This window comes from Homo sapiens, chromosome 1, assembly GCF_000001405.40.
Source record: "Homo sapiens chromosome 1, GRCh38.p14 Primary Assembly".
NCBI classification, from domain to species: domain Eukaryota; kingdom Metazoa; phylum Chordata; class Mammalia; order Primates; family Hominidae; genus Homo; species Homo sapiens.
Genome location: NC_000001.11, coordinates 157,726,514 through 157,743,353, shown reverse-complemented (window position 1 = coordinate 157,743,353; position 16,840 = coordinate 157,726,514).

The following is a 16,840-nucleotide window of genomic DNA, read 5'->3' as shown; positions in this document are numbered from 1 at the left end:
GAGATTATAGACATGAGCCAGTGTTCATGGTCATAATTTGTTAAATTTATATAAATATCACTTTTTTCTCATCTTCACTGTCTATTCTGAACTGTAATTCTGTTCCCTTATTTTGGTCTGTCCATTCTTGGCAGCTATCATGCTAATTTTATTTTTAGAGTTTAAGATGTATGATTATATTATAGCTGATATTTCCTCGTTAGCCATTGTTAAAAATAATAGCTAGTAAAATGAGTTTTGAGAGAAATTACTAAAGTGGGAGAAATTATTCTTCCTGATGTTAAGGATTATTATATAGCTACAGTAATAATGACAGGATGTTACTGGTGGAAGGATAGACACATAGGTCAGTGGAACAGAACACAGAACTCCAAAACAGACCTACACAAATATGCTCAAATGATTTTTGACAGTCTATAAAGCAATCGAAAGGAGGAAGGGTAATCTTTTCAATAAATAGTACTCAAGAGATTGGACATCCATAAGCAAAGGAAATGAACCTTAACTTAAGTCTCACATCCTATATAAAAATTAATTCAAAATGGATCACATGCTTAAGTGTAACATGTAAAAATTTAGTAAATTTAGAGAAAAACATGTGAAAAAAATCTTTGGGATGGCATAAGGTTAGGTAAAGAGGTCTTAGAGTTGACACTAAAATAAAGAATAGAAAACATTTATAAAAGAAAAAGTCACTGAATTGGATCTCTTCAAAATTAAAAATCTTACTCTGTAAGAGATCCTGTTAATAGAATGAAAAAGCAATTTAAAGGTTTAGATAAAACATTTGTATCCAATATCCAACAAATGACTTGTATCTAGACATTATCAAGAGCTATCAAATGCAACAGTAAAAATAAACAATCCAATTTAAAAATGGACAAAACGTGAACACTCTCCAAAGAGGATTTAAATACAGAAAATAGATAATAAGCACATGAAAAGTTATTCAACATTAGCCATTAGAAAAATATAAATTAAAATAACAATGAGATATCATTACACATCTATCAGAATGGCTAAAATGAAAAATGGTAATCATGTCGCCTTACAAGGAGATATGACATTCTCTAAGCATCCAGGACTGAAAGTTGGGATGTCCCATGGGATTATCAAAAAAATGGGGTAACCTCATCCCTACAATTAACCCTAGAGCCAGCAGCTATCAGAACACCGAAGGCATGGCCATGGTGCCTACCTACAGCCATCACTGGACAGGACCAACGGCCAGTTAAAGGAGATCACTGTTTAAATGAGCTTTTAAGGAGGACAGTCAAGCAGGTTGGGGTATTCTTATTTTTCTCAATGTTTCCTGTATACTTGGATTAAACAAGGTGTCTTTAAGTGATAAAGACACATTAATGATCCTTAGAAAAATTGTGTGAAATTTTTATTTTTTTTAAGTAAAAAGTCATTTTATTCCAATCTACCTATTCTCGTGAATAAGGTTTCTCAGCGCTGGCATACAAGGGATACTGGCAAGGAAACAAAGATTCTAGATCATTCATTCAATTCTGGTGAGAATGTAAAATGGTAACCACTCTGGAAAACAATTGGCATTTCCTTTTTAAACATGTGTATACCATAAGAACCAGCAATCACACTTGTGAGCATTTATCCCAGAGAAAATGAAAACTTAGGTTCATAAAAAATCTGTATATGTGTGTATATAGAAGCTTTATTCATAATAACTAAAACCTAGAAACAACCTCAAAGTCCTTCACTGAATGAATAAACAAGTTTTGGTACATTGATACCATGGAATGTTAGCAATAAAAAGGAACAAATTATTGATATACACAAAGATGGTTCTCAAGGAATGTACTGAGTGAAAAAAATCTATTTAAAAAGATTGATTTCCACTTATTTCCATACTTCCATTAATATAACATTTTTAAATAACACAATTATATGGATGGGGAAGAGATCAGTGGTTGAAACCAGAGATTAAGAGTGGAGGAAGGCCAGCGTGACTGTGAACATGTAGCAAAAGAGAGTAGTCCTCTGGTGATGACAGTTATTTCTCCTGATCATTATGGTGGTCATTACATAAAGCTACACATGGGATAAAATTGCATAAAACTACACATACACACACATGCAAACTTACACACACACACACAAGTTTTAAAAACGTGAAAAATTTGAAGAAAATTTGTGGATGGTAACAATACCAATTTTTTGGTTTTGATATAGCTGTACTGTTATTCAAGATGTTCTCATAGAAAGATGCTGAGTTAAGCTTACACAGGGCCTCTCTGTACATTATTTTGCAATTTCCTATGTGTATAGAATCATTTCAATATAAAAATTTTAATATTTACAATAATTATATCCATTCTAGATTATTTATTTTTTTCTGATGAACTTTATTCTATGTAGTTTGTACAGCATACTAAATTATTTCTGGGCAAATTAAATATCAAACCCAAGCCCACAGTCAGCTATGTCATTACCATTGGTGAACTACCTTTGTCAGGAGAGGGAATTATACAATGGTTAAGCAAAGAGGCATTGTGGTTAAAATTCTGATTGCTGTCTCTGAAAGTTATTTGATTAGAGATCCTCATTTCTCAGCTTTTTGAAACTTCTTATACTGAATTTGAAGTATGAGTAATAATTGTGCATAGTTTATGTAATAACCACTTATATTGTGCTACTTATATGTCAGGGGCTAGGCAACTTACAAATATTTATTAAATCTCTATAATTATTTTATGGGTTATTCCCCCATTTATAGTTGAGGAAACTGAGGGATAGGGAGATTAAGTAGTTTGCTCAAAATATGCAATTGGGTTTTTGGACAAGATTCTCTAATAGACTCAGCCAAGAAGCACCACTGCCACTGAGAGAGGACAAATTATTGAGTAAATCAGCATAATTTGGTCAGATCTATGGAGAGAAAATGTCAAGAGTGGGTAAAGAGGTGACACTGAAGCAGATGCTGAAGGAGGAAGCTGGGAACCCTGTGTGAGGTGTCTGAACACCAGAGCTAGCTCCTGGCCCCAGTGACTCCTGGGAAATGGATGAGCAGGAGAACTGAGAGATGGCTCACTCTCACCGTGGACCTCTGGACCCCTAGTTACAGGGGGCCTTGTGTCCCCCATTTACATGTGAACTGGCAGGGGGATCTCCCCAGGGAGCAGAGACAGACTTCAGATGATACAAAGCCTGGGAGCAGCTTTTGTGCATTGGGCAGCTCCAGCAGAGCATAGCCATAGGCTCCAATCCCTCTGGGCTCCCCATCACCCTCCAGCAGGCAATGGCCTCAGCTGATGGCTGAGCCAGGGAGAGAGTAAGACCAGTGACCCTGTGGGACCAGGGTATGTTTGTTCTGCAAGCCCTTCTGACCAATGGCTCCTTCCAGGGGCCATGCCCCGCTGGCCACCTCACAGTACTGGGTGTATGCTGCAGCTTCTATAGCCCAGCCTGAGTGTGCTGCTCCACCTGAGTAATTTTCCAGTGACCTGGGAGCACATTGGATTCTCCAGTGCAGTTGAAGCCTGACCCCTAGCTGCAGGATGTCCTGGCATCCCCAGGGCTGTGGTGCACAGCTCAGGAGTACCAAGCCAAGATCTCTGACTGGAACTGAAGTAGGGGAGGAGTCCCCACTCTCAGAATACTGACAGGGGCAAGATGCATGAGTCCCTGGGCTGAGTCAGGAATGAGGCATGCCTCCCTTCACAGGGCTGGTTCAGAAAAGGTATAGCCTGTCTTCCTGTCAGGGCCTCTGCCCAAGAGAGCTCACACAGCCTGGAACACTTAACAAAAGAAATGTCACGTGGTGCCGGTGACCAGAGGGGGCTCCCCCAAAGCCCAGGAATGTACTTAGTGAGCGAGCAATCTCCCCCCACCTCCCACTGTGGAGCATGTCTGCGAATATGAGAAAGTACCAAAGAGCCCTGTGGCTGGGTATTATCCTAGCTACCAGCCATTACTCTCTCTGCCATCTACTGATGGCAAAAATTACCCTACTTATATATACACTTGTGAAACCAAGTGCAAGACTTTACCACGCATAAAGATCCTATACAGAGCCCTGCCCCCATGAAAGCACCCAGAAATGAAGCCAACTGACTATATCCAACTTACACCACAGTTAAAGGAACACCAACCTTCCCAGATTAGAAAGAAATAGCACAAGAACTCTGTCAATTCTAAAAGCCAGAATATACCCTGATATGGTTTGGCTGTGTCCCCACCCAAATTTCATCTCTAGTTGTAGCTCCCATAATTCCCATGTGTTGTGGGAGGGACCTGATGGTAGGTAATTGAATCATGGAGGCAGGTCTTTCCTGTGCTGTTCTTGTCATAGTGAATAAGTCTCACGAGACCTGATGGTTTTATAAAAAGGAGTTCTCTGCACATGTTCTTTTTGCTTCCTGCCACGTAAGACATGACTTTGCTCCTCATTCACCTTCTGCCATGATAGTGGGGCCTCTCCAGCCACGTGGAACGGTGAGTTAATTAAACCTCTTTCCTTTATAAATTGCCTAGTCTCAGGTATGTCTTTATTAGCCATGTGAGAACAGACTAATACATCTCCTTACCTCCAAATGAGTCCACTCATTTGGAGCTTCCCAACAATGGTTCTTAACCATTCTGAAATAACTGAAATGACAGACATAGAATTCAGAATCTGAATGGCAAAAAAGCTCATCAAGATTCAGGAATGAGTTGAAATCCAATCCAAGAAATCCAAGGAATCCAGTAAAATGATCCAAGGGCTGAAAGAAGAAGTAGTAACTTTAAGAAAGAGCCAAACTGAACTTCTAGAGCTGAAAATTCACTACTAGAATTTCATAATACAATTGGAAGTATTTACAGCAGAATAGAACATGCTGAGGAAAGAATCTCAGAGCTTAAAGATCAGTTCATCGACCCAACTCAGTCAGACAAAAATAAAGAAAAAAGAATTTATAAAAATGAACAAAACCTCTGAGAAATATGAAATTATGTAAAGATACCAAAATCTATGACTCATTGCCATACCTGATAGAGAAGGAGAGAGAATAAGCAACTTGAAAAATATATTTAAGGATATAGTTCATGAAAATTTCGCTAATCTTGCTAAAGAGATTGACGTGCAAATCCAAGAAATACAGAGAACCTTGACTAGACACTATACAAGATGACCATCCCCAAGGCACATAGTCATCAGATTCACCGAGGTCAATGCAAAAGAAAAAAATCTTTTTTTAAAATTATACTTTAAGTTCCAGGGTACATGCGGAGAACGTGCAGGTTTGTTACATAGGTATACATGTGCCATGGTGGTTTGCTGCACCCACCAACCCTTCATCTACTTTAGGTATTTCTCCTAATGCTGTCCCTCCCCTAGACCCCCACCCGCTGACAGGCCCCAGTATGTGATGTTCCCCTCCCTGTGCCCATGTGCTCTCATTGTTCAACTCCCACTTATGAGTGAGAACACGTGGTGTTTGGTTTTCTGTTCTTGTGTTAGTTTTCTGAGAATGATGGTTTTCAGCTTCATCCATGTCCCTGCAAAGGACATGAACTCATCATTTTTAAGGCTGCATAGTATTCCATGGTGTATATGTGCCACATTTTCTTTATCCAGTCTGTCATTGATGGGCATTTGGGTTGGTTCCAAGTCTTTGCTATTGTGAACAGTACTGCAATAAACATACATGTGCATGTGTCTTTATAGTAGAATGATTTATAATCCTTTGGGTATATACCCAGTAATGGGATTTCTGGGTCAAATGGTATTTCTGGTTCTAGATCCTTGAGGAATCACCACACTGTCTTCCACAATGTTGAACTAATTTACACTCCCACCAACAGTGTAAAAGCGTTCCTATTTCTCCATATCTTCTCCAGCATTCTAATTGTCCCTGTTTTCAGATGACATGATTCCATATCTAGAAAATCCCATAGTCTCAGCCCAAAAGCTCCTTAAGCTATAAACAAGTTTAGCAATGTCTCAGGATACAAAATAAGGTACAAAAATTACCAGCATCCCTAAATACCAATAACAATCAAGCTGAGGGCCAAATAAGGAACACAATCCCATTTACAATAGCCACAAAAAGAATAAAATACCTAGGAATACAGCTAACCAGGGAGATGAAAGGTCTCTACAAGGAGAACTACAAAACACTGCTGTTCCAAGAAATTAGAGATGACACAAACAAATGGAAAAGCATTCAATGCTCATAGATAGGAAGGATCAATATCATTAAAATGACCATACTGCCCAAAGCAATCTATAGACTCAATGCTATTCCTATTAAACTACCATTGACATTCTTCACAGAACTAGAAAAAAATATATTTGAAAATTCACATGGAACCAAAAAAAAAAGAAAAGAGCCCAAATAGTCAAGGCAATTCTAAGCAAAAAGAACAAACCTGGAGGCATCACACGACCCAATTTCAAGCTATGCTACAGGGCTACAGTAACCAAAACAGCATGGTACTCGTACAGACACATGGAGCAATGGAACAGAATAGAGAACCCAGAAATAAGATCACACAGCTACAACTATCTGATCTTCAACAAAATTGACAAAACAAGGGGGAAGCATTCTCTATTTAATAAATGGTGCTAGGATAACTGGCTAGCCATATGCAGAAAATTAAAACTCCTTCCTTACACCATATACAAAAATTAACTCGAGATGGATTAAAGACTTAAATGTAAAACCCAAAACTATAAAAACCTCGGAAGACAACCTAGGCAATACCATTCTGGACAAAGGAATGAGGAAAGATTTCATGACAGAGACACCAAAAGCAATTGCAACAAAAGCAAAAATTGATGAATGAGATGTAATTAAACTAAAAACTTCTGCACAGCAAAAGAAACTATCAACAGAGTAAAGAGACAAATACATAATGGGAGAAAATTTTTGCAAACTGAATATGACAAAGATCTAATATCCAGCATCTATAAGGAGCTTAAACAAATTTACAAGAAAAGAACAAACAAACAACTCTATTAAAAAGTGGGCAAAGGACATGAACAGACAGTTCTCAAAAGAAAACATACATGCAGCCAACAATCATATGATAAAAAGCTCAACATCACTGATCATTAAAGAAATGCAAAACAAAACCACAGTGAGATACCATCTCACACCAGTCAGAATGGCTAATATTAGAAAGTTAAAAAAAATAACAGATGTGGCCAGGCACGGGGACTCACGCCTGTGATCTTAGCACTTTGGGAGGCTGAGGTGGGCGGATCATGAGGTCAGGAGTTTGAGATCAGCCTGGCCAACATGGTGAGACCCAGGCTCTACTAAAGATACAAAAAATTAGCTGGGCAGGAGTGGTGGCGAGCACCTGTAATCCCATCTACTTGGGAGACAGAGGCAGGAGAATCACTTGAACCCGGGAGATGGAGGTTGCGGTGAGCTGAAGTCAAGCCATTGCACTCCAGCCTGGGTGACGTGGCGAGACTCCGTCTCAAAAAAATAAAAATAAAAATAAATAAATAAATAACAGATGCTGGTGAAGTTACGAAGAAAAAGGAATGCTTATACACTGTTGGCGGAAGTGTAAATTAGTTCAACCATTGTAGAAGATGATGTGGCAATTCCTCAAAGACCTAAAAACAGAAATACCACTATCTAGCCAAGGGTATATAAATTGTTCTATTATAAAGACACATACATGCATATGTTCATTGCAGCACTATTCACAATAGCAAAGACATGGAATCAACCTAAATGCCCATCAATAGTAGACCGGATAAAGAAAATGTGGTGCATATGTACCATGGAATACTATGTGGCCATATAAAAGGAGATCATGTCCTTTGCAGGAACATGAATGGAGCTGGAGGCCATTATTCTTCACAAACTAACACAGGAACAGAAAACCAAAAACTGCATGTTCTTACTTATAAGTGGGAGCTAAATAATGAGAACACATGGACACATAGAGAGGAACAACACACATTGGGGCCTATCAGAGGGTGGAAAGTGAGAAGAGGGAGAGGATCAGAAAAAAACGATGGGTACTAGGCTTAATGCCTGAGTGATGAAATAACCTATACAACAAACCCCCACGACACAAGTTTACCTACATAACAAACCTGTACAGTTACCCCTGAACTTAAAAGTCAAATAACAAAAAAGAAAATGTGGTACATATAACCATAGAATACTACATGGCCATAAAAGAGAATGAAATCATGTCCTCCACAGCAACATGAATGGAGCTGGAGGTCATAACTTTAAGCAAATTAGTGCAGGAACAGAAAACCAAATATCACATGTTCTTAGTTATAAGTGGGAGCTAAACATTGAGTATATATGGACAAAAACATAGCAACAACAGACACTATGCGCTACTAGAGCAGGGAGAGAGGGAGGGGAGCGTGGGTCAAAAAACTACCTATTGGGTATTATGCTCATTACCAGGGTACAATATACCCATGTAACAAACCTGCGTATGTACTCCCTGTATCTAAAATAAAATTTGAAATTTAAAAAAAGAAAAGAGTTAAAGATACATTGAATTATCTGAAGATTTCTTCAAATACCAATTAAATCTGCAAGGACAATTAGTGTGATGTATATTATTTCCTGAAAAGTGTTCTTAATTAAAGCTTTGAGAACATTAAAAAAAGTTATGTTTATACAATACTGTAGTCTATTAAGTGTGCAATAGAATTAAGTCTATAAAAGCAATGTACTTATCTTAACTAAAAAATACTTAATTGCCTAAGGAATGCTAATGATTATATAAGCCTGAAGTGAGTTGTAATCTGTTTTCTGATGGGGAGGTCTTGCCTCAGTGTTGATGGCTGCTGACTGGTCAGAGTAGTGGTTGCTGAAGGCTAAAGTGGCTTTGGTAATTTCTTAAAATAGCAATGACATTTGCTGCATTGACTGACTCTTCCTGTTACAAAAGACTTCTCTGTAGCATGTGATGCTGTTTGAAAGCATTTTTCCCACAACAGAACTTCTTTCAAAATTGAAGTCAATCCTCTCAAACCTTGCCGCTGCTTTATCAACTATGTTTATGGGATATTCAAAATGCTTCATTTTCATTTCAACATTGTTTACATCTTCACTAGGAGAAGATTCCAGCTCAAGAAACCATGTTCTTTGCTCATCCATAAGAAGCAACTCCTCATTCATTCACATTTTATCATGAGATTGCAGCGATTCTGTCATATCTCAGGCTTCACTTCCAATTCTAGTTCTCTTGCTGTTTCTACCACATCTTCAGTTACTTCCTTCACTGGAGTTTTGAACCCCTCTAAGTCATCCATGAGAGTTGGAATCATCTTCTTCCAAACTTTTGTTTAATGTTGATATTCAGACTTCCTCCCACAAGTCATGAATGTTCTTAATAACATCAAGAATGGTGAATCCTTTCCAGAACATTTTCAATTTATTTTGCCTAGATCCATAGGAGAAATCATTAAGAGAGTAATAGTCTTGCAACATGTATTTCTTAACTTGAAAATCTAACTTACCCCTTGATCCATGGGCTGCAGAATGAATGTTATATTAGCAGGCATGAAAACAACATTAATCTCCTTGTGTATCTCCATCAGAGCCTTGGGTGACCACGTACATTGCCAAGGAGCAGTAATATTTTGAAAGAAATCTTTTATTCTGAGCAGTAAGTCTCAACAGTGGGCTTAAAATATTCAGTAGCTATGTTGTAAACAGATGTGCTATTATGCAGACTTTCTGGCTCCATTTGTAGAACACGAGAAGATTAGACTTAGTGTAACTCTTAAGGGCCTTAGGATTTTCAGAATAGTAAATGAGCATTGGCTTCAACTTAAAGTCACCAGTTGCATTTGTACCTAACAAGAGAGTCAACCTGTCCTTTGATTCTTTGAAGCCAGACATTGACTTCTCTTCTCTAACTGTGAAAATTCTAAATGGCATCTTTTTCCAGGATCAGGCTGTTTCACTACATTGAAAATCTGTTGTTTAGTGTAACCACCTTTATTTTAGCTACTTCTGGATAACTTGCTGCAGCTTCGACACAGCACTTGCTGCTTCACCTTGTATTTTTTATGTTATTGAGACGACTTCTTTCCCTAAACTTTATGAACCAACATTTCTTAGCTTTAAATTTTTCTTCCACAGCTTCCTCACCTCTCTCAGCCTTTATAGAATTGAAAAGAGTTAAAGGCCTCACTCTGTATTAAGCTTTGGCTTTTAAGGGAATGTTGTGGCTGATTTGATCTTCTATCCAGACCACTAAAACTGTCTTCATATCAGCAATGAGGCTGTATTGCTTTCTTATTATGCGTGTGTTCACTGCAGTAGAATATTTAATTTCCTTCAATAACTTTTCCTTTGCATTCACAACTTGGCTAACTGGCACCAGAGGCCTAGCTTTTGGCCCATCTCAGCTGTTGACATGCCTTCTTTGCTAAGCTTAGTCAGTTCCAGATTTTGACTTAAAGTGAAAGACATGTGACTCCTCCTTTCACTTGAACACTTAAAGGGCATTGTAACGATATTAATTAGACTAGTTTCAATATTTTTTGTCTCAGGGAATAGAGAGGCCCAAGGAGAAAGAGAGAAACAGGGGAAAGGCCAGTCTGTGGAGCAGCCAGAAAACACACAACGTTTGTCAGTTATGTTCACCATCTTATGTGGGTATGGTTTTGTGGAGCCCCAAAACAATTACAATAGATCATTAATTACAGATAATCATAACATATATAATAATAATGAAAAAGTCTGAAATATTATGAGAATTACCAAAATGTGACACAGAGATACAAAGTGAGCACATGCTGTGGGAAAAATCGCACAAGCGGACTTTCTGAATGCAGGGTTGCCACAAACCTTCAATGTTTAAGAAACACAGTATTTGCAAAGCACAATAAAACAAGATACACTGGTATATAAATTTAGGTTGAAACATTCTAAATGCTAACTTAAAAATAAAAGTCCATGAACCAAGAGGCTTGAAAGGAGTTCACCTAGACAACCTCCTAGTGTATTCCTCCTAGCCAATCATGCATGAGCCATTGGTTCAAGAGATCCAAAATGAACTTCATAGCAGCATCTGGTACCACCCTAGAAATGGGGAACTACTCTTTTATTTATTTATTTATTTATTTATTTATTTATTTATTTATTTATTTATTTATTTATTGAGATAGAGTCTTACTCCATTATCCAGGCTGCAGTACAGTAGCACAATCACAGCTTACTGCCGCCTTGACCTCCTGGACCCAAGTGATCCTCCCACTTCAGCCTCCCAAGTAGTTGGGACCACAGGTTTGTGCCACTACACCCAGCTAATTTTTTAAAAAAAATCTTCGGTAGATATGAGGTCTCACTATGTTGCACAAGCTGGTCTCAAACTCCTTCATCAGATACTTCAAGTGATCCTCCAGCCTTGGCCTCCCAAAGTGCTGGGAGTACAGTGGTGAGCCACTGCATCCAGCTGTGAAAAATTACTCTTAGCTATTACTTACACCCAACCATCCTTGGGAGATAGTACATACTCCCTTTATTAATAGTAACTCTGGAGTAAATTGCTCCAGAGGAATATATTAAAGTATACATGGCAACACAGGCACTTAATATATCTCCGATCAGTGACTCCCCACACAAACAACCACCTCAAACTCACGTTTATCTGTTAAGAATTACTTTACATATTTCTGGCTTGGCTAAATCTGGTGGGAACTGCAGGCTTTCAGAAATTCAAGGTCTGGACTGATGGTTAAGTTGCCAGTGACCTCTCTGGTCTCAGATGGAAACTATCTGATGATGAGATGTCACTTAACCATTTAACTTTCCTCCACATGCTTAACATCCATACATATGACTTGCCTGTGCTGAAATCTGAGAATCTGGACCCTGAACCTGAACCCCTTAGAACTGAGAAGGGCCACAAGAACCTATGGTGCGTGTTTGTGTGTGTGTTTGGGTATCCATTATAGAAAAATTAGAAACATGAGAAATAAAAAAAGATAATTAAAAATCACTTTTATTCCATTAACTCTGAGATAATTGCTAATATCTCAATATCCATCAGCCAGAATATTTTCTATGCATGTGCTCACGTATACATAAATATACAATTTAAAAATAATGATAACAGTAATCTCATTTTTTCTTTTAATAATTTTGTTTTGTTTCCATGCCATTAAGTATTATTCTAAGATATTTGTGTATTGCCTGGTATGTTTGAAAACGTACAAACTTATTTTGTAAATGATTTATTTGAGGGCCTTTATAGTATTGACAATTACTCATTATGATAAACAGTGTTACAATGAACATCTTTGTGTTTAAGTCAACATTTTGAGTAGCATTACTAGTTTAGAGAAATGAAAGGCTGTTACTCTATGCAGTCAGACAATAACTTGGCAATATTTCCCCTGAGATATCCCAGTGGTTGTGTGGAGGGTCTATCAGCTTATGATACATTACTGTTGAGATATATAATCAAAACAATCTTATAGAAAAGAGCTCTGTATACTATATGAGGAAGTAGAGATCAAACATTGGAGGAGTCTTACTTCCTTGCTTTCTATCTAGGTAAAATATTCTGAAGGCCTGTTTGTGATCCTTGCTTTTGGTTACTGTTTGATAGACCCCTTCAAGTCAGTCACTAAGACAATCTCCTTTCAAATAGCTGAATGAGGAGGCCTCATGGTACTGTGGTCATTGCTGCTGGCATTTTATGAGCTGGACCACTTGGAATGAGATGTGGAACAGGAAGAGAATGGAGGTCCTGGGATCTGGATATCTTTGAGGTTTTCTCAGAGCCCAAGTCTGTGGCCATTGTCTAGCAGAAACGCTGGGTCTCACTTCCAATGCAGTCTCCAGAGATATTTGAGAATAAAGAAAATGAGATGATTTAGATTTCCAAGAAAATGTAGAAGCAATGCATTTCAAATTCTGCTAGGAAAAACAGAAATCTTTCTTTTTAATAAATTTCTGTTCTGATCTTATAGGAAACTTTATACGTGATGTAATTGGCTTTTTTTTAATACCACACTCCAGTAATCCATTCCTTCCAAAATGAAACAACACACTTTAGATAACAGATTAAAATTTGTATTAAACAATAGACCATTTGGCATCACTGTTTATTTGTACACAAGGGAAGATAAAAACTTTGCTAAGAAACACAATTCCTTTCTCTGTACTTAGTAGACACATTCTGTACATAATTTTAGAGTGAAAAATGGACTCCTAAGCAAAAAGTTGACCTAAAATCAAGAAAGGAGGACCTATACAACCTACAGAACACGGGAGAGACCACTCTTCTTCTGTATGTTCTCTCCCTAGCTCTGTGTCTTTTTTTAAAATATCTTAATATTTTATTATTTCAATAGTTTAGAGGTATAAGTGGTTTTTGGTTACATAGATGAATTATACAGTGGTGTATTCTGAGATTTCAGTGCACCCATCACCCAACTAGTGTACATTGTACCCAATATGTAGGGGTTTGTTCCTTATACCCCTCCTACCCTCCTTCTTCTGAGTCTCCAATGCCCGATACCACTCTGTAAGCCTTTGTGTACTCATAGATTAGCTCCCACTGTTAAGTGAGAACATACAGTATTTGATTTTCCATTCCTGAGTTACTTCACTTAGAATAGTGGCTCCAGCTTCACCCAAGTGCTGCAAAAGACATTATTTCATTCATTTTTATGGCTGAGTACTATTCCATGGTATACATGTATACCACATTTTCTTTACCCACTCATTAGTTGATGGGCACTTAGATTGGTCCATCTCTTTGCAATTGTGACTTGTGCTGCTATAAACATACATGTGTATATGTCTTTTTCACACAATGACTTATTTTCCTTTGGGTAGATACCCAGTAGTGGGAATGCTGAAATTAAAGGTAGATCTACTTTTAGTTCTTTTTTTTTATTATTATACTTTAAGTTTTAGGGTACATGTGCACAATGTGCAGGTTTGTTACATATGTGTACATGTACCATGTTGGTGTGCTGCACCCATTAACTCGTCATTTAGCATTAGGTATATCTCCTAATGCTATCCCTCCCCCGCCCACCACCCCACAATAGTCCCCAGAGTGTGATGTTCCCCTTGCCTGTGTCCATGTGTTCTCATTGTTCAATTCCCACCTAGAGTGAGAACATGCGGCGTTTGGTTTTTTGTCCTTGGGATAGTTTTCTGAGAATGATGGTTTCCAGCTTCATCCATGTCCCTACAAAGGACATGAACTCATCATTTTTTATGGCTGCATAGTATTCCATGGTGTATATGTGCCACATTTTCTTAATCCAGTCTATCATTGTTGGACATTTGGGTTGGTTCCAAGTCTTTGCTATAGTGAATAATGCCGCAATAAATATACTTGTGCATGTGTCTTTATAGCAGCATGATTTATAATCCTTTGGGTGTATACCCAGTAATGGGATTTCTGGGTCAAATGGTATTTCTAGTTCTAGATCCCTGAGGAGTCGCCACACCGACTTCCACAATGGTTGAACTAGTTTACAGTCCCACCAACAGTGTAAAATTGTTCCTATTTCTCCACATCTCTCCAGCACCTGTTGTTTCCTGACATAGGACTTTTAGTTCTTTAAGAAATCTCCATACTGTTTTCCATAGAGGTTGTACTAATTTACATTCTCACCAGCAGTGTGTAAGTGTTCCCGTTTCACCACATCCATGCCAACATCTATTATTTTTTGACTTTTTAATAATGGCCATTCTTGCAAAAGTAAAGTGGCATCTCATTGTGGTTTTAATTTGCATTTTCCTGATGATTAGTGATGTTGATCATTGTTTCATATATTTGTTGGCCTTTTGCATATCTTCTTTTGAGAAATGTCTATACATGTCATTTGCTCACTTTTTCATGAGTTTTTTTTCTTGCTGATTTGTCTGAGTTCCTTGTAGTTCTAAATATTAGTCCTTTGTCAGACGGATAGTTTGCAAATATTTTCTCCCAGTCTGTGGGTTGTCTGTTTGCTCTGATGATTATTGCTTTTGCTGTGCAGAAGCTTTTTTAGTTTAATTAGGTCCCATTTATTTATCCTTGTTTTTGTTGCATTTGCTTTTGAGGTCTTAGTTATAAATTCTTTGCCTAGGTCAATGTCCAGAAGAGTTTTTCCAAGGTCATCTTCTAGAATTTTTATGGTTTCAGGTCTTAGATTAAGTCTTTGACTCATCCTAAGTTGATTTTTGTATGAGATGAGAGATAGGGATCCAGTTTTATTCTTCTACACGTGGCTAGCCAGTTTTCCCAGCACCATTTATTAAATAGGGTGTCCTCTCTCCAATTTATGTTTTTGTATGTTTTGTTGAACATCAGTTCGTTGTAAGCATTTGGCTTTATTTCTGGATTTTCTGTTCTGTTCCATTGGTTACGATATGCCTACTTTTATACCAGTGCCCATGCTGTTTTAGTAACTATAGCCTTGTAGTATAAATTCAAGTCTTGTAATACCTCCAGGTTTGTTCTTTTTGCTTAGGATTGCTTCGGCTATTTGGGCTTTTTTTGTTGTTGTTCCATATGAATTTTAAGATTTTTTTTAAGTCTGTGAAAAATGGTGATGGTATTTTGATATAATTTGCATGAAATCTGTAGGTGACTTTGGGCAATCACAAAATTGTGAAAATAACCATTCTTCCAATCCATGAGCATGGGATGTGTTTCCATCTATATGTGCCATCTATGATTTCTTTCAGTAGTATTTTGTAGTTCTCCTTGCAGAAATCTTCCACCTCCTTGGTTAAGTATATTACTAGGGTTTGTTGTTATTGTTGTTGTTTGTTTGTTTTTACAGCTATTATAAAAGGGATTCCATTTTTTATTTGATTCTCAGCTTGGTTGTTGTTGGTGTACAGCAGTGCTACGAATTTATGCCATTGACTTTGTAACCTGAGACTCTATGTCTTAAATTATACTAGTGCCCTGAAGATGTGGAAGCTGCAGTGAAAGTAATAAATACTGGAGATGCTGAACATGTGAAAAATGAAGAGCTCTTGGTAATGGGCAAGGCATATGTTGGAAAGTTCCTTGTGAGCATAAAATAAAGCATGGGTTATAGTGTTGTTGGGAAAGGTGTGGCTTTTGGGGATATATTAAATATGGGAGAAGGAATTTGAAAAAAAGCAGGGAAGTAGGGTATGGACGGGTGCCAAAAAACCCTCAGAATTACAGAGTGAAAAAAGATGATGTACTGCTCTGTGCTCACTTTTCATTCTTCTCTCGCTTGCAGCTTCATTCAGTGGACAATTTGCTATGTTTCCCTGCTGGTCCTTTCTCATAGATTTTCAGTAACACTGTCCTTCTGACCAGCTCAGGAGGCATATAGATGCTGTCTCAGACATGTGAGGTTGAGAACCCTCAGATATGCAAATGCTCGGTGGTTTCCTCAGGCCCTGATTGTTCTGCTTTCACATACACCTGCTCTGAAAATACACAGTTTTTCTGGTTGGGCAGACACTGTCTGGTCTTTTAAAGCCCTCTAATCGGCCGGGCGCGGTGGCTCAAGCCTGTAATCCCAGCACTTTGGGAGGCCGCGGCAGGCAGATCACGAGGTCAGGAGATCAAGACCATCTTGGCTAACACGGTGAAACCCCGTCTCTACTAAAAATACAAAAAAATTAGCCAGGTGTGGTGGGGGGTGCCTGTAGTCCCAGCTACTCTGGAGGCTGAGGCAGGAGAATGGCATAAACCCGGGGAGGCAGAGCTTGCAGCGACAGAGCGAGACTCCATCTCAAAAAATGAAATAAAATAAAATAAAATAAAAATGAAAGTAAAAAAGCCATCTAATCCTGTTTCAGCCCACAGATTTATTTTGTTTTACTTGCACTTTTTTTGCATTAACAAACTTACATTTGTTGACAAGATGGCTTCAGGCTCTTACTATTAAACT